This window comes from Homo sapiens, chromosome 4, assembly GCF_000001405.40.
Source record: "Homo sapiens chromosome 4, GRCh38.p14 Primary Assembly".
In the NCBI taxonomy this organism is placed as follows: Eukaryota; Metazoa; Chordata; class Mammalia; order Primates; family Hominidae; genus Homo; species Homo sapiens.
Genome location: NC_000004.12, coordinates 16346988 through 16365402, shown reverse-complemented (window position 1 = coordinate 16365402; position 18415 = coordinate 16346988). Strand labels below are relative to the sequence as shown.

At 39.8% G+C, this 18415-nt stretch overlaps 2 long non-coding RNA genes and 1 pseudogene across 3 annotated transcripts in view, besides 1 other annotated feature; 1 reads left to right on the top strand and 2 right to left on the bottom strand.

Annotated features, from left to right (window-relative positions):
• LOC105374505 (uncharacterized) overlaps positions 1-4538 on the bottom strand; it is a 190382-nt gene extending 185844 nt beyond the window's left edge. For both annotated transcript variants that reach the window (XR_007058068.1, XR_007058069.1), the window contains exon 1: positions 4407-4538. This is a non-coding gene — a long non-coding RNA (uncharacterized LOC105374505). The remainder of the gene's footprint in view (positions 1-4406) is intronic.
• ZEB2P1 (zinc finger E-box binding homeobox 2 pseudogene 1) lies at positions 3576-4912 on the top strand (annotated as a pseudogene).
• Positions 3793-4992: an enhancer, noted in NCBI's record as "MED14-independent group 3 enhancer chr4:16362034-16363233 (GRCh37/hg19 assembly coordinates)". NCBI's record gives its function as "activates an origin of replication core promoter dependent on BRD2, BRD4, P300/CBP and CDK7 cofactors, and independent of MED14, by STARR-seq in HCT116 cells {active_cell/tissue: HCT116}" and the evidence as "EXISTENCE:reporter gene assay evidence [ECO:0000049][PMID:35650434]".
• The window catches only part of LOC124900674 (uncharacterized), a 71217-nt gene continuing 59916 nt past the window's right edge, over positions 7115-18415 (bottom strand). The window contains exon 5 of the long non-coding RNA XR_007058064.1: positions 7115-9783. This is a non-coding gene — a long non-coding RNA (uncharacterized LOC124900674). The remainder of the gene's footprint in view (positions 9784-18415) is intronic.

Sequence of the window (18415 nt, the reverse complement as noted above, 5' to 3'; positions counted from 1 at the left end):
AATAAAAACACTTCAACATTCACTGCCTGAGCCTGTGTAAGGACCGAATGAGAGAGTGCGTGGGAACACACTGTGTATGCTGTTGAGTTCTACAGAGGTGAAAGGCTGTCATTATTCTACTATTTTCCTGTGGATTAGCAGCATTCACATTATCTTTATGTTTTCTAGGCAGAAATAAAAAAAATAGCATATCTGAAAAGCTAAGCTCCTGTGAATTCAAAAGAAAGGATGGCTGGGATTGCCTGCATCAAAGAAAAGAATAGCAACTCGCATTTCTGTGCTGCTCTTGGCACACAAGCCACTTTCTAATGTATTATCTCATGTGATCTTTACAAAATCTTGTACAATGGAGTGTGCTATTATTATTCTTTTGTAGATATGGAGAAAGACTGACAGAGGTTAAGTGACTGGCCCAAGATAACACAGCTAGGCGGTAACTGAATTAGATTTTAACACCAGTCCTCACATTCAAAATCCATCTTCTTTTCACTGAAGCACAATCCTTCTTGTAACAGCAAACAGTAAACTCAGCCTTGGCAGCATAATGATCCGTAAAGAAAGACAAAGAAACTTTCATAACTGAAAAATAGATGTTTAGTTTTTTCATATTTAAAAGAGCATATCCAGGTGAGGGTAAGAGTAGCTGAGGAATCTAGTTTTATGTTACCCATTAACTCATATATTCACCCTTCATCCATCCATCCAATCAGCAAATTAAAAGTCTATTCTCTGCAGAGCGTTGTTACAGGTGCTGAGAATTCACATGATAACTCCCTCAAGCATCATCATCACCAATCATCATCAACAGCAACAACAATTTTATCCCAATTACTTTGGTTATGTACATGTAATGTGTGGCTAGGTGGTGTGTCATAAGACTAAGACTACAAAACATGGCCCAGATAGTGTATTCATCACCAATATGGCGCACACTCACCAAGGCAGGCAGACACTAGAAGGCAGAGTAAAGGAGATACAGTCATCTGAACAAAAGTGAAGAAATGCACAATTAATACATGAAGTCTACAAGGACAAATGTACTTTGCGAGGGTATGCTGAGAAGAAGGAACTGTGATATTTAAATTAGTAAAATTGTAAGGAAGTGCCATGAAGTGGATCCTGAGGATTTTGTTCCCAAGTAGGCAGCTTGATGAAGGCTTTTCAAGCCATAAAGGCAAGGTGATAGCTTGTATCTCTTGCTTTTCTGGTTTTTTTTTTTTTGTCTTTATTTCCAATAGGGATGAGCTCTACATTCTGCATATAGCAGATCCTGAGTAAATGCTGTTTCCCTCAATTCAGAAATATATTTGTGAAATATTTTTCAGAGAAGCTGCTTTAATTTGGAAAATAATATAAATTCCTCAGAAGGGAAAAACCACAAATGTATAAACTCTTCCCTTCCCCCTTTTCCACCTAAACAATGCTTCCTATTCTTCTTTAAGATGCAGATCCAATTTGATGTCTGTCAGGAAGACTTCTTCCCATTCTGGCAAGCGCCGCTCATAGTTGATATTTCTGCTTTGTAACCTCATGGGACACCTACCTGGGACCTGAACACACTTCACTGTAGCCTCTGCCTTTGCTCCTCCTTCTTTGCTGTTATTGCATATGAAACTCCATGCTTCTGTCTTAGGTGAACCCATACATTGTTTAAATATCCACTTACCCATTTAGCTGCAGCAATTCTCTCTGTCTCTCATTTTTATTTTCCCCTTAGTTTTAGTTTTCAACTTTATTGTAGTCTTTCTACTAGGTCATTCCCAACAGCAAACATTATTTCTTTTAAATTCAGCTTAAAAAATAAAAATAACTTAACTACACTTCTCTTAGGAGGCAGACCACAGCCAATGACAAACGAAAGCTAGCCCACTGTCTTGAGGTCAGGTTAACTCTGTAGTACAAATTGTTTTCCAAAACTCACTTTGAGAACAGACTGAAACTAGTTTTCCTCTGAAGCTACATCCCTGCTTAGCTTTTCTCCTGCTTTATCATTCTTTCCTCACTTCACCTGCTCTGAAAAGCATTTTCCCAATAAACCATTTGATTACCAATACCCATCTCTGGATGGGTACTTTGTTTTTAGGGACCCTGGCCTAAGACAACTGGTACCAAAAGTGGAGTAGTCCTAGGAGGCTCTAAGTATGGGATTTTCAAGTTGTGTCACTTGCTGGCTGAATGGCAATAAGGATCCCACTACTAGTCTTAGCTGGATTATAGATTGTCCCTGGCATATTCAAGCATTGTAATTGCTAAGACTTCTACTTTTGATGGACTAAGATGAGACACAATTGGAAGGAGGTGTACTAGCTGGTGCAGTATCTTTGACACTTGAGAGATGTAGAATAAATAATGATAAGAACTGCAACTGGTAGCTGTTTCTAAGCAGCACTGTCTTATTAAAAAGAAAAAAAATGACAGGCTTGGATCTATTACTCAACATCTTAAAGCAGAGAGTCATAGGGTATTCTTGGGAGCATTTAAAGACTTTTATCTCCTACAGCCAGCAGACAGACATTGCTTAAGATTAGGCACCAGACCTAATTTTAAGAATTGTAGAATTTTTAAAGAATTCTGGAATTTAAGAGAATCTTGAAGTATCAGCCTATGCATGTATACAGTGAAAAAGTCAGGGCCCTGATACAAAGTGTAGAACCCTAAGATTTGGGATAGGGATATCCAGGCAGACACATTTGAAGAATCACATCCAGATTCCTTTGAACCCTCTGAACCTACAGAAGTGTCCCACTCTCTTTTTGGAAGGTAGAGAACCTCTTGCCTGAAAACTATATAGAGACCTAAAATGAAGCAGGTGCGCATGTTCTCACTCATAGGTGGGAATTGAATAATGAGAACACCTGGACACAGGGAGGGGAACGTCACACACCGGCTCCTGTTGTGGGGTGAGGGGAGCGGGGAGGGATAGCATTAGGAGATATACCTAATGTAAATGACGAGTTAACGGGTGCAGCACACCAACATGGCACATGTATACATATGTAACAAACCTGCACGTTGTGCACATGTACCCTAGAACTTAAAGTATAATAAATAAATAAATAAATAAATAAATAAATAAATAAATAAAATGAAGCAGGTGCTTTACAATGTAATAGTTGCCTTCATCAGAATCTCTTTCCTCCTTTCCTACTGGCCACCAGACCCATAAGTAGAGACAAATCTCAGCCAGAAATGACAAGGTAAGTGGCAATCCTGCTAAGTAAAGAAAGGAATGATTTACCAAAGGAGCTGTAGGACCATGTGCTAACATGTATTGTCAGGAACTCAGATTGGTGGATCCTGAGCACGCTGGACCATGTTTTCAACATGAAGCATTCCTCCATAACACAATGTTTGACATCTGGCAAGGACCTCACGTGATTGTTCTAATACATTCCTGGAGTAACTCTTGAGAACTTGGGAAACGTTATGGCCCATCTTGTAGAAAGGAGAGATGCCAGAGCAGCCATGGAAAACTCTGGAGGAAGGAATCCTGAGCCTCAGAGAAGTAGGGATACTAGAATATGTCTATCATAGGAGACCAGAAAATGTACCAACTACGCGTTCTTAAGATGGCTCATCAGTTTTGACCATAACAGTGCTTCTTCCTCATCTGAAAACTCAGATAAACCTCTGAACCTGACTTTTATCAAGAAGGAATTTTCAAATTCAAATAATCTGGACAACAAAAGCACTAACCCAGTGTTCGGCACGAACCCTTTTAGTGCCAAACCTTTATACACAGCTCTTCCACCTCAAAGCGCATTTCCCCCTGCTACTTTCATGCCACCAGTTTAGACCAGTATTCCTGGGCTACGACAATACCCAACACTGGATCAGATAAGCTTCCTACCACATATAGCCTACACCTACCCAGCTGGCCACATACAGCCTACACCTACCCAACTGGAGCAACTACCTTTGCTGATACGCAGCGAAGGAGAAAGTACCTGCGGAAACAAGGATTTCAGGGAATTGCTTTATGGAGCACAAGACTACATGTCAGGTCTAGATGTTATGACAGACTCCAACTGCTGTCTGTCTCGCAAGAAGATCAGGAAGACAGAGAGTGGTATGTATGCATGTGACTTATGTGACAAGAAATTCCAGAAAAGCAGTTCCCTTCTGCGACATAAATACGAACACACAGACCACATCAGTGTCAGATTTGTAAGAAAGCGTTTAAACACGAGCATCACCTTAACGAGCACTCAAGGCTTCACTCGGGCAAGAAGCCCTATCAGTGTGATAAATGTGGCAAGCGCTTCTCACACTCCGGCTCGTACTCGCAGCACAGGAATCACAGGTATTCCTACTGCAAGCGGGAGACGGAGGAGCGGGAAGCCGCGGAGAGCAAGGCACGCGAGAAAGGGCACTTGGAACCCACCCTGCTGATGAACCGGGCTTACCTGCAGAGCATTATCCCTCCAGGGTACTCTGACTCGGAGGAGAGGAAGAGTACGCCGAGGGATGGCGAGAGCTAGAAACAGCGCGAGAAGGCAGGCGAGGATGGCTACGGGAAGCTGGGCAGACAAGATGGCGACGAGGAGTTCGAGGCGGAAGAGGAAGAAAGTGAAAATAAAAGTATGGATACGGATCCCGAAACGATACGAGATAAAGAAGAAACTGGAGATCACTCCATGGACGATAGTTCGGAGGATGGGAAAATGGAAACCAAATCAGACCACGAGGAAGACAATATGGAACGTGGCATGGACTAAACTACTGCATTTGAAGCTTCCTTTTTTTTTTTCCAGTAGTATTGTTACCTGCTTGAAAACATTGCTGTGTTAAGCGGTTCATGCACATGCCTGACGCTTCCAGAAAGCTGTGGAGAGGGACAGAAGGGGTGGTTCAGCCAAGACAGATGTAGACAGAGTTGGAGCTGGGTATTGTTAAAAACTGCATTATGCAAAAATTTTGTACAGTGTTAAGGCCTAAAAACTGTGTGGTTCAGAGACTAATTCCTGTGTTTAATAGCATTTATACTTTAAGCACAACTAGAAAATTGTAAAAATTGCACTCTACTTACGTATCACTACAAACTTTACAAAACTATGTCTAATTTACATCAATACATTTTTAAAAGGTGCCAGCACTACCATACATCATTATTATTATTGTTATTCCTTTTTAATTTAATCTGCTCGCACTACAATGCATCAGTATTACGATTCCTCTGTACTTTCCTTTTGCTATTCATCAATTTCCCTTTTTTTTTCCAGCTTAAGTAACCACACAATTTTAGGCCTCAATTTTTTTTTTTCTATGAAGAAACTTGAAGTGTTGCACGTGTGAATTTAAGATACCGAAGTCTTAAAGTGACCTGGATGTAAAAGAAAAAGTAAGATGAGAAATAAAGCCTTTGTAAGGTGGTTTTAAAAGCCTTTTATGCAAACCTTTTACTCTGTGTTTCTGCAAGTGCCATCTTTGTACAGTATTAAGAAGATAACATGGGTTACCTTTGCACCAGCTTCAGTGTTAAGCTCACCCTGTTCTCTGAAGCAACCATGTCAGTATTAGAAGAATAGGCAGCAGTTCCTTAGTTTACATATGTTCGTGCAATTATTTTATGTACTTTTTTGTTCATTAATTTTGTCAGTATTACACCAAACTGTTTTTGCAACAACAATTTTTTTTTTGCATTCATTTAATTTTAGGTCAAATAACATTTTATTTATGTTTTTTTATTTTTTATATTTCCTAATTTTATATTTACTAATTTTATTTATTTCATACTATAGTGTACGGTATTATAGTTCTTCAATATATAGATATATTTTAGTAAAAAAGGAACATGACATTGGTCATTTGGGCAAATTTTATGTAAAGAGAAGAGCATTTATTGTGTTTTGGAACATTAATTGTGAGATGGAATTTTTCGATTTTATTATTTTATTTTTGTTTTTTCCAATTACTGGAAATTCCAAATTTGGGAACTTTTGATACGATCTTGTGAAAACACTGTATTTTTTATTGAAAATTCCACTTTCTTCATCTTGTTTTTTAGCTAAAAAGAGGGACTGTTAAATACAATGTATGATACCATGCAAAAATCTTTCTGAATTGTCTTTGTAAAAGTATTATTGAATTTTTAATTTGTAATTTCTTTTGAAAATGACCATGCTCGAATAAAAATGTAGCCAAATTAAAAACAAAAAAAAAGATGGCTCAGAGGACATTTTATTAACAAAAATGATAGAGGGCTCTGGTGAGAGAGTCACAGGCAGTGCAAAAGTGAGCAGTAATTATCCTCTGTAGGTCAGGAGTGATGATAGGAGAAGTTGTTGTTACACAAGTGGGCTCCCTAACAGCAATGAGGATAAGACTCTGGAAAAGAAGAGGCCAGGAGGCAGCCCTTAACAGTCAGAAAAAGAATAAAGTAAAGCCAGTTACTGTAATGGACAGCAAGACTGGAATGGCAGCCAGAGGCATCTGTCCCATAGGGATCATGGCAATGGCTCACAGAACATAGTATTCTTAGGTGCAAAATAGATGGGCAACCAGAAAGTGTACTGCTTAAAATACATGATCCAAAAAGTTCAGAGAATGACAGTCGGGTGTGGTGGCTCATGCCTGTAATCCTAACACTTTGGGAGGCTGAGACGGGCAGATCACATGAGTCCAGGAGTTCCAGACCAGCCTGGGCAACATGGTGAAAACCCTGTCTCTGTAAAAAATACAAAAATTAGTCAGGTGCAGTGGTATGTGCCTGTAGTCCCAGCTACCTAGGAGGCTGAAGCAGGAGGATCTTGAGCCCAGGAGTTTGAGGCTGAAGTGAGAGCCATGATCACCCTATTGTACTCCAGCCTGGGCGACAGAACAAGACACTGTCTCAAAAAACAAAAGGGTTCACAGAGAATGGATGATCAAGAGACTTAAGGTCTGCTGCCTCTGTAAAAAGACTTTTTTTTTGAGACAAGATTTTGCTCTGTTTCCCACCTGGAGTGCAGTGGCCTAATCACAGCTCACTGCAGCCTTGAACTCCTAGGCTCAAGGGATCCTCTTGTCTGAGCCTCCCAAGTAGCTGGGACTGCAGGCTAGCAACACAACACCTAATTTCTTTTTTTAATTTTTAGTAGAGACAAGGTCTTGCTATGTTGCCCAGGCTGGTCTCAAATGTTAGAAAGTCTTGATTGCCCAGTTTACAGCCCTGAGGAGTTCTCAGATCCAGAGCACGTCGACTAAAGAAAGATCATATTCCCACAGAAAACAAAAAAATCCTACAACACAACAGCCAGTGAGCACAGTAGTGCTTTCCCAGTTCTTCCCAACAAGCAAATAACAGCAACAACGAAAAGAAAAGAATTATGGCTATGTACTCAAATAATTGTACACTGCAGAAAGGGGAATACCCAAATCCTTCAAAGGCTATAGGACATAGAATTGAGTAGGCACTAGTACCCAGGAACCCAAAGTACCAATATTATCCCTGATAGTGCCTATGGGGGGTCAAATAATAAATGAAGTCCTGGCCAAGGTCCATCTCACAATGGATTCATTCTCATCCATTGCTATTTCTCTGATTCCTAAAGGCATAAACAACAATTTCATACTCAGGAGTTGACAGAACTCCCACACTGGCATGCAGAGTAAGAGCTATGGCAGTAGGAAAGGCCAAGGGGAAGTCCCTGAAACTGCTCCCTGCTCCAAGATAGTAAATCAAAACCAAGATCCCATCCTGGAGTATATGACAGATATTAATGCCACCTTCAAATACTCACGTAATGCAGGAGTAATAGACTCTGTCATATCCCATTTATTCAGTAGGGCAAAAACTGGATGCATTATGATAGATGTTAATGGACTATCACAAACTTAGCCAAGTGTAGTCTCATTTGTAGCTGCTGTGCCAGATATGGTGTCTTTACTAAAGGAGATTAACACAGCTTGAGATATATCATATGTGGCTATCGAACTAATGAATGTGTTCTTTTCCATATCTACATGAGAGGAAGATCAGAAGCAGTTTACATTCTCGAGGCACAAATAATGGTACAAATTCAGAGTTGCTGCAGAACTTTGTTAATTTTTCCATTCTCTGTCATGCTAAAATCCAAAAGGACTGTGAATGTCTGGACATCCTAAAAATGGTAGTGAGCATATAACTGTGGAATCCATCAGTCCTGCCATACACAAACCATCCAGAAGCTATTGGCCTGATAGAGTGATGAAACAACCTTTGGAATGTACAGCTGAGGGGTCAGATTGAAGATGACATCCTTCTGAAGATGGGGTGCTATAATTTATGATGGGGTATATACTGTATACCAACGGTCATTATATGGTGATGTGTACCCAATAGATAGAACATATGGTGAGAGAAATAGGGATGGGAGTAGCATGAGCTGCTTAGGAAATTTGTGTGTCCTTTGTCTGTACCTTTATACACTATAGGTACAGAAGTCCTAGTCTCCAGAGAAGGAGGTGTTTCCACCAAGGGATGCAGTTGAGAGTGCTACGTGGTCATTGGGCATCTTAATGCAAATAGACGAGCAGTCACAGAAAGCAGACATTATATAACAGTGGGGATAATAGACCACTGTCCTCATGAGGATATAGAACTGCTCCTTAATCATGGGGCCAAAAAATTGCTGGCATGAAGGTGATCTTTCAGAATATCTTGATAGTTCTACGTCCTATAAATGGGCAAATACAACAACCATCGTCCTGTGGAACTATATCCTATATCCTCTGGAGGAAAGACCTCAGCTAATGACTGACTGACATGGGTGTACAAAAGACTAAGCACCCCTTGACTCAAGGTAAGACTAACTCTGCTATGTTATTTGTGCTTCAGAGCTTCCCCATGGGAACAAACTAAGGCTAGCCTCCAGTTGAGGCCCCATTCTTACTTAGCTTTTATTCCCTCCCTATTCTGCTTCCTTCATTCCCCTCTTCTACGACCATTTCCTGGAAAAAATTACTTGAACAAAGATACCTGTTTCAGCAGCTCCTAAGGAATTTTACCTAAATGACAGAGAGTTTTAATGGTTTTGTTTACTGATATTTCAAAGGTTCTAGAAAGCATGGGACACAATGGGCCCCAGATAATATTGTTGAATAAAAGTTTAAACCATATCATACTGAATTGTCATGCTGGGTTTAGTTGCCATCATTTATTCATTTAGTAATTTCTTTTACTCACATAATTGGCTTTTATCTAGTGCTTCCTATGTTTTAGGCTTCATGCCAAGTGTTGGAGATACAAAAAACAACGTAAGTCTGTGCTCCAGTTCTGACGGCACTGTCAGCCTTGTCATGTAGACATATCGATAAACTGACTCACTTGAGTACGAGATAACGAATGCTAATGTTATGGATTTAACTGTATGCCCTCAAAATTCATAGGTTCTATATTTTGAGATAGGACCTTTAGGGAGGTAATTAATGTTAAATTAGGTTATTAGAGAAAGGCCTTAAATCAATAGAGTTGGTATACTTTTCAGAAGAGGAGGAGGCACCAGAGCTCGCTTGTGCTCTCTCTCTCTCGTTCTCTTTCTGCATGTGCACAGGGGTAAGACCATATGAGAACACAGTGAGACAGTTGCCATCTGCAACCCAAGGAGAGAGGCCAACCTTTGTTGGCACCTTGATCTAAAAATCAACCGTGTTGGTACCTTGATCTTGGGTTTCCAGCCTCCAAAACTGTAAGAAAATTAACTCCTGTTGTTTAAGCCGTCCAGCCAGACAACCAGAAACATCCAAGACCAGAGACTTGGGGCAGCCCAAGAAGACTGATATAGCTACTATACAGTGAGGGCCCGTATCTTCCATGTCTTTGCCCTGAAAGAGAAACACAGATGCTGGCACACAGTGGGCACTCAATAAATAAATAAATCACTTGAAAAAATTTCTCACAGCCTTATGCAATGCTGAGACCTGATTAGATCTTGTCAAGCACAACATCTCTCGCCTTCCATACCTCCCTCTCCCTAGCACTGTTTCAATTCTCCAACTCATGCTGGGAAAGCCATTCCATTCCTCTTTGGCTAATAAACTCCTGTTCACCCCTGGAGCATTCTCTGATCCTATTCCACCCTGAGATCCAATAGGTGCCTTCTCCAACCCGCTGGGTCTGCCTCTTCCATTGCATTCAGAATTTTGTACCACGATTTTGTGTCCATCTGTCTATCTTTTCTATGACTTAATAATATATCAGGAACTGTGTACCCAGAACTTATCAACTGGTTTTTTTAACATCCAAAGGAGGATTGGTGTATAGAAAAAAAAAAATTACCATGACTTGGGTTTTTATTGATAGTAATTTACTTACTTTTTTAAATTTTAAAATCTGTCATTCCTTTAGCCTTTAAATTCAACTTTCAAGTCCAGTATATTTGCTTATAAATTTAACAATTGGGAGTGAAAATTAAAAACATTCTCATTCTTTAATTTCTGCTAATTTATAGCATAAATTTCACAGATTAATTTTTCCTAAGCATTATTTTCAAACTTCAACAAATTTTTTCAGACATATCAAATTAAAGTCATAAAGCTTATAAACAACAAATTAAAATCTCTCATACTATCTAAAACTTAATTAAGTTTCCTTAAACATGTCAAACTATGATCATAAATTGAATATATTTTATTTTCTCAAGCTAACTCTTCCAACTTTAATAAATATGAATTTATCAAATTAGTAGATCAGATACAGGTAAGCATTTCAATATCTTCAAAAGCAATATATAAATTTGGTAACTTCAGTTCTCTTAAGCTTTAAGCAAATGTAATTAAATAAAACCATCTTACAATTTAAATTAAAATCTTAAGCCAGATTCTCTAGAATGTCATTATATCTTAAATGTTTCAAACATCCTACCAAGTTTATCCAAACAACACAATGAATACAAAAGTTTTCATTACACTTGTATAATCACAATTTACATGAAGTTTTAAACACCAAATTTATTTTTTATCATCTCTATGCTTATATTTTGTACTTTCCTGTAGTTACAAAGTCACTTATCCAACCAAACAGAATAGAATTACCATCTCAGCCCTACTTTAGCAAATGAAATTACAGATTCAATGTTGTCAGAGATTTGAGACACAGGTTGCACATTCAAGGGATTTGTGAAAGACTTGGGAACACATAACCTAAATCAAACTGAGAGGAAACAGCCAGAAAAACACAAATTAACAGACATTCTACAAAACAACAGACTGTACCCTACAAAAATGTCAATGTCATTAAAAAAAAGAGAGAGAGAAAGAAGGCCAAATAGACATAATGACTACAAGCAATGCATAATCCTGAATTGGATTCTGGATTAGGGAGAAAAATCATAGCCAAAAAGGCAGCATTGGGACAATTAACAACATTTGAATGCAGACTATATATTGGATATCAGTTTTAATAAATGTAAACTTCCTGAGTTTGATAATTGCATTGTGATTATATTGGAAAATGTCACTTTCTTTAGGGTAGTGACATTGAAATATTTGGAGTGAAATGTAAGATCTCCACAAATGGTTCAGCAAAAGATAAAAATAAGAATAGTGAAAGGAATAACAATGTGAGCACATTTGTGTGTAGAGAGGAAGATAGAGCAAACATGTGGCACAAATGTTAACAGTAGGTAAATCTAGATGAAGGGTAGGTTCTTGCAACTTTGCTACAGTTGTTTTTACAAAATAAAAAGTTAATTAAAAACAAAATTAAAGATTAAAAGTAAGATTTTGAATGGGATTATGCAAATTTGGATGTCACTTCAAGAGAATAAACTTGGGCGATAGATTATTTTATGCAACAGAAAACCACTGGCAAATTTAAACCATAAACTGCTCTACCATTAGGATACTGGATTCTTTAGAGCTGAAGGAATATTGGGAAACCAGCTTCAGAGGCTGTGCTTGTAGGGAAAATGGCAAAATTCAACTTCCTTGCGGGAGGACAACACTGTGTCATTGCTGAGATGAGGCATGGCAGGGTGCACCACCAGTACTGCCTGATAGATGCAGACAGTGAAACCATCACCATGGCCACTGCTCCTCTAGAAGCTGGATGCTGCTGTTGTAGCTGTTGCCACGTGCTACCAGAATGAATTATCTGCTTTTCTTCGCATCGGTAGCTCACAATTCACAGCCTAAGGCACCTGTATCTGATTACCCGAGTCCAAGGCACATACCAAAGCATTGGCTGCATGGAAGCTAGGAAAGTCAGAATCTGAATTTCAGGGTCTGTAATGTCATCAAGTCTCTGTCCACTGTCATCAAGTCTCCTAAGGGATGGGCTTCCTAAAGGAAATGGATTCCTTGATGGGGAAAAATAAGAAAAAGGATACACATCTAAGATACACAGAGGACCTCTCTAAAATGGGCCCACTGTATCTAAGGGGCCACCATAGCCAAGCCTTTCATCTGGGATTTGACTTTGCCATCCCAGTATCACCTCACCCCTTTCCTAAGACAACCTCTTTCAATTCTCATCATTGATGGAGTACACAGAAGTCTGCTTTCAACAAAATATTTTATTGGCTAATTGTTGAATTATTTGACCCTTTACACCCCCTTACCCTTTCACCACCCTAGTCAGGATTGTGACTGATGTCTCCTGGTTATGAATTGTTGTGGGACATTCCCCAGCCTTGTTTCCACTTTCTTATTCATCTATTGCTCATTATTTAGTAAGCATCTACTGTCAGGACCCAGTGCAGGACCCAGAAGGTGGTGAGCGCTCCAGCGTGAGGACTGGTAAATGAACACATGAAGGAATGGCTAAGTAGTAAATGGATAAATAAATTGATGGATACTATAAAAATTACCTCCCTGGCTACACAAATGACATATAAAGCACACAAATCCTGACCCATAACCACAGACACAATTGCAATCTATTCCTTGGAAAATCTTGGCTGTGTTGAAACATGAGAGTTGATTTCCTAAGGCTGCTGTGTCCACTGGGTAGTGGGGGGCTGCAGAAGGGGTGGACTCTGTTCCTACCTGTGTGTGGGAGGAGAGAGGTCTCTTCTGTGTCATAAGAGATGGCAGGGCCAGCTATAGATCCATTCCTACAGCAGCATAGAGTAGGTTCTTTCCATCCTGGGGCCACCACATCCACTCCTTAGAAGGGATAACAAGCGACTAACTTTGCTCATGGCTCTGAAACCCCACCCAGACACTGAACTACGAAAACAAACTGGTTCATTCACAGATTCTAATTTTTTAAGAGAGATGAGTAGGACACAATGAGTTGATCATCAGTGTTCAGAATCGACAAAGAGAAGCCAGTCGCAGGGCAAGTTCCCCAGCCATCCCATATTTTCTCTCTTTTTCTTGGCCTTCCTTCTGCAGCCAGGGACCTTGAAGCCCAAAGGCTGAAAAGCCTATTATCACCAGATAGAAATGTAAGTAAACAAGGCATCACAATAATGAATGCTAAAGCAGAAGGCAAGAATGGGGGGAAGGACCTCTTCGCTGCAAAGGATTGGGCTGGAACTGGGCCATTTTCCAACTACCATAATAATAGAGGGCTTTTGTTGGTTTCTAGACATGTAAGTCAAAAAGGATACTTCAAGACAAGAATGGAAGGAGGAAACGGTTTCTTCACCATTGACCCTCAATCTGCATTCCAAAATTGGCTTCAAGGCTAAGAAGCTCTAATCCTTCAACCAAACAGAGGGAGCTAAAAAGAATGGATTTGAAAAGACCACAGGAAATAAGAGTGGCTATAGCACTCGGGACATAGCCCTAGTCAAAGGATTTGCGGACGTTAAAAGGAGACAAAAAGGAAGAGTCAAAAGATTATCTGCAGAATATGTATGAAACACAAGGCTGAGACCAACTGAATTACTGCCCTTATTTCTCTCCCTCTCTGTGGATGTTTTAGACACCAAATCTGGGATTCCAGAGGCTGCAGCTGATATGATTGGAAATGCCGTGCATCTGTTTGTGAACTTCGAGTCTAAATTGTATTAGCGTTAAGTGATAGGGACCCCGTTTGCAATTTGATAAGCAGGAGCCGACTGTTTCTGATGTTTTACTAACAATTTGGGTAAATACACTGAAACCAATATGTTCAGCCAGGTGTTGAACGCATTTAGCCCAGCGTGGAATGGGTCTGCACAAATCTGTATCCCCAGATGGAAGAAGCCGAGTTACAAATTAGTGCAATTCAAACAGAAGAGGTTTGACCAAGGGAGAGCTTAAAGAGATCAAAGGAAAAGCAGAGGGAAATTGGATACAGTTGCATGCCAGTTCATTAGGAGGCAAAGGGGACTTAATTATTTTTTATTCCAGTTTTTTCTTTTTTTTCTCAAAGAATTGGGTTAATGCTCTTACTATTTCAGTTTGGCCTTAAACTTCCCAAAATTATAAGGAAGCGCTGTGTCACAGTAACGTGTTAAATACTAAAGAATTTTATTCTATCATTATTAATCTGGAACCAGGCATGAAATTCCAAGTGTATTCAAAATCAGAACCCAATTTTTAAAAGGAGTATCTACATTTAAGTGTCATCAAAGAGATCTGTTTACATAGTGTGCCATAATTTTTAGGATTTCCATTTATTTCTTTTTATTTCCTCTAAAGAATAAATTATTTTAAAGTTATAATTAACTAACACAATAGCTTTTTAATTATTCTCCTATTATATCATTTTATCTCTCTCTGTAGACATGTAAAATCATAATGATTTAGTTGTTTACCTCCCTGGTTGGGGGTCTTGCCCAGAAATAGAATGATAATTAGTTTTTAAAAAGAAGAATTGGAATCATGGACTGTGTCAATGGTGAGTTGTCAACCATAATCCGTGTATAAAGGACAAAGAGACAAGACTATCCAGGCAGTATGTTAACATTATTTACAATGTCCCTAAAATTCAATTTGTAACCAAACAGCATGGTGCTGTTCAACTCCCTTGAAGTGGGATTCTAGAATGGAGGAGAGAGGCTAGCAGACAGGAACTATGTAACATGGGAACTAAATAAAAGTGCAGACATGGACTCAAAGAGGAAGTGGTAACATCCAGAAGAGTGGAATCCATAGCAAAAGACCTAAGATGGGTGCTGGCTGCAAATTCAGAAAAATTAGGAGTAATATTAGGTCTTTTGAGGAAAGTCTGAGAACTTTATTTGCAAGGTGCTCAAAAGAATCCTGTGGGAAGAAACTCATGCTAAGGAAGAGGCCTCACGAGGAAAGAGAAGGGAGGTTAGAGATGGGGTCAGAAAGACAAAGAGGAGACAATATCCGCCTTGTAGGATGGAGCTGGGAGTCTGGATTTTATTCCAAGGTCAATGGCACACCTGTGTGTGTATTACCAATTGAAATGCTACCAGGTGCTAGACCTGTTCCAGATGCTGAAGATACAGCAGGAACACACCTTCTGGTCTCTCGAGCTCAATTCTAGGAGGAGGAAGCAACACATAAATGAACAAACAGGGTAATGCTATAGGTTTTACAAAGAATTAAAAACAGACTGATGTGATAGAGAGACTTGGGGCTACCTTTTTACACTGAGTGATCGAGGAAGTCTCTCTGAAGAGTTAAGTTAAGAAAATTATAATGAGCCACATTTGCATATGATTTACCACGGACAAGCCCCCTGCTAAGTACTTACAAACTTTAAAGTTGTTGAGGGAAACTGAGGCAAAGGTAATTTAAGAAACTTATCTAATGTCCCTTGCTGAAAATTGTTGAATTTTAATCCAAGAAATCTGACTCCAAATCCCTCATTGCTTACCAGTATATTCTAAGTGACATTGCCTGAATGAGAAGAGATGAGGATTATCAGGAGAAGCAAGTCATGGGAGTCACTGGGGAAAGAGTAGTCCAGGCAGACAGAGGAGTAAGAAACAGCAAGAAGGCAAAGAGGTCTGGAACAGTGAATCAGGGGAGGGAGGAACAGGAGCAAAGTCTGAGAGACAAACAGAGGGCAGAACACATAGGGCCTTGGAAACCAAAAGAAGCATTTCTTCTAAGGGAGACGGGGTTTTTTTTGTTTTGGTTTGGTTTGGTTTGGTTTTTTGAGACGGAGTCTCGCTCTGTTGCCCAGGCTGGAGTGCAGTAGCATGATCTTGGCTCACTGCAACCTCCACCTCCCAGGTTCAAGTGATTCTTCTGCCTCAGCCTCCCGAGTAGCTGGGAGGTGCACACCATCACACCCGGCTAATTTTTGTATTTTTAGTAGAGACAGGGTTTCACCATATTGGCCAGGCTGGTCTCAAACTTCTGACCTCGTGATCTACCCGCCTTGGCCTCTCAAACTGCTGGGATTACAGGCTTGAGCCACTGCACCTGGCCATAGATGGGGGATTTTAAGCAGGGGAAAGGTGTGATCTCTTTGGAGTTTGCAAAATACTACCTTGGCAGCTGGGTGAACAATGGAATGCAAAGAGAGAGAGCCAAAGTGTTAGCAGAAGGAAGAATTTTAAGGAAGTGCAAGAGAGAAATGCTGCTGGCTTGTATGATCATGGCCAAGACTGACTTGAAAAGAGGTAGTGACAGGGTAACTTGGAGATGGAGCTGGCAAGGCATACTGCTGGAATGAATAAAAGGCATGTTGGAAAGAAAGGAAGTAAGAATGACCATTATGTTTTTATCTTGAGCAACTGGGTGAATGAATGATGAATGGTAGTGCCCTTTGCTCAGATTGGCTAGGTGGGGAAGTGATGGAAGGAAGAGGGGATCAATGTTGTGATAAGGAAAGTGGAAATAGAGCAGGGTAATGTAAGCTGGCACGGGTATCAGAGGAGGAAATGACTTTTAACGTAACACCTTAGGTCATTCACACATTCCTAAAGGTCATTTAGGAAACGTAAGCCATTCTCTCTTGCTTGAATGACCTTCTTCATGGCCTCTCTAGCCAACCCTACTCATCTTTCAAGCTCCAGATAATACATCCCTTCCAATGTTACAGCCAAAAGTGTTCAAAGAAAAGCTTCATGCCAGCCACAATGCACTTTGAGAATACAAAGACAGTAAAACATTGGTCCTCTCTCAAGGAGGTTATTGTTTAGGGAGGGAAAACAAACATACAACAAACAAATACAATACCTACTGGAACGGAATTGTGTGCAGATTAGAGTGGAAGCTCAGGCAGACTCAGGAAAGTCTTCATAGAGGGACAGATACTCTAGTTTTCTTGCAGGATAAGGATATGTTCTCATCCAGGAAGATGAGAACATGTTTGCTAGGAAGACACAGCACAGAGGGTTGCCAGACAGATGCAACAACATAGAGAAAGGCACAAATGCATAAGGCAACAATAGCATCTTGGAAAATTACCTGTAACAGAGACCCAGATTGGATGGATTAGGGTTGAGGGTGGTGTGTGGATTGACAGGGACAATAGTGAGAAATGAGCTTGAAGAGGTAAGCAAAAGCCAGATCAGGCATGGATGCTGTGGCAAACCCTGCCAGTGGATTACCCAATGTCACTCACCATGTCTTCCCTGCTATCAGAATCTTGATTCAGGTCACATATAGAGATCCCTTGATCTCTGAGAAGGCAATCCTCTTCTCAGTCAAGGGATTAAACTATGACTGGTCTAAACCAATTAGGTAATATCATTCCCCTTCCTCAATGACTGGCCAACAATCAGACATGTGATCCAGTTCTGGCCAATAAGATGTAAAGAGAAGTCTTTTGTCTCTTCCCCTTCTTCCTGCCTTCAACATCAATATGGTGCCTGGAGCAGTAGCAAGCATCATGTGACCATGAGGTAGCATGCATGAGAGTTGCCAACATGTTAATAGTGGCAAAGTAGAAAGGTAGAAAGACCCTGCATCCTTTACTGAGGCTCTGAACAAATACCAGTCATCACCTGTTTGCAGACATTTTATCATGTGAGAAAAATATGTATTTACTAGGGACTCATGTCACAAGTTAGGTAGATTTAATTTACAGTGGACAAAAGCATACTAACTGATGCATATATCATGTTAAAGGGTTTGGATTTAATCCTGAGGGTGAAAATGTTTTTAACAGAAAGGAATCAACTTTGTTTTCTAGAAAAATCACCCTGGAAGCTTTGTAAAGGATAGAAGAAACGGGTGAGATAAAAGAGGTAGGTAGCCCAATTAGTAAACTACTAAATATTCAAAGTTAATGATGATAAAAGAATGGAAAAGGGACATGAAAAGAAATGAAAAGAAGGGAAGAGAAAAGTTATATTTTAGTGAGATCGAATTAACAGGACTTGTCTGAGTAGATGTGAAGGATGGGGAAGGGAAGGGCAGGAGAGCACCTAGACTCACACGGATAAGTTGAGCAGAATGCTAACATTTCATGAGGGAACACAGGAGAAAGGGAGATGATAGTCAGGGAGAAGAAAATATCTTATTTATTCTCAGATAAGCTGATTTTATAGTCTAACCAAAATGCACTAAGTTTCATTATGTCTAAAATTTACCTTAGTCATGGAAATGATCACATTTTGTTTACTTGTCTGAAACCACAACTAAACCATGAGCT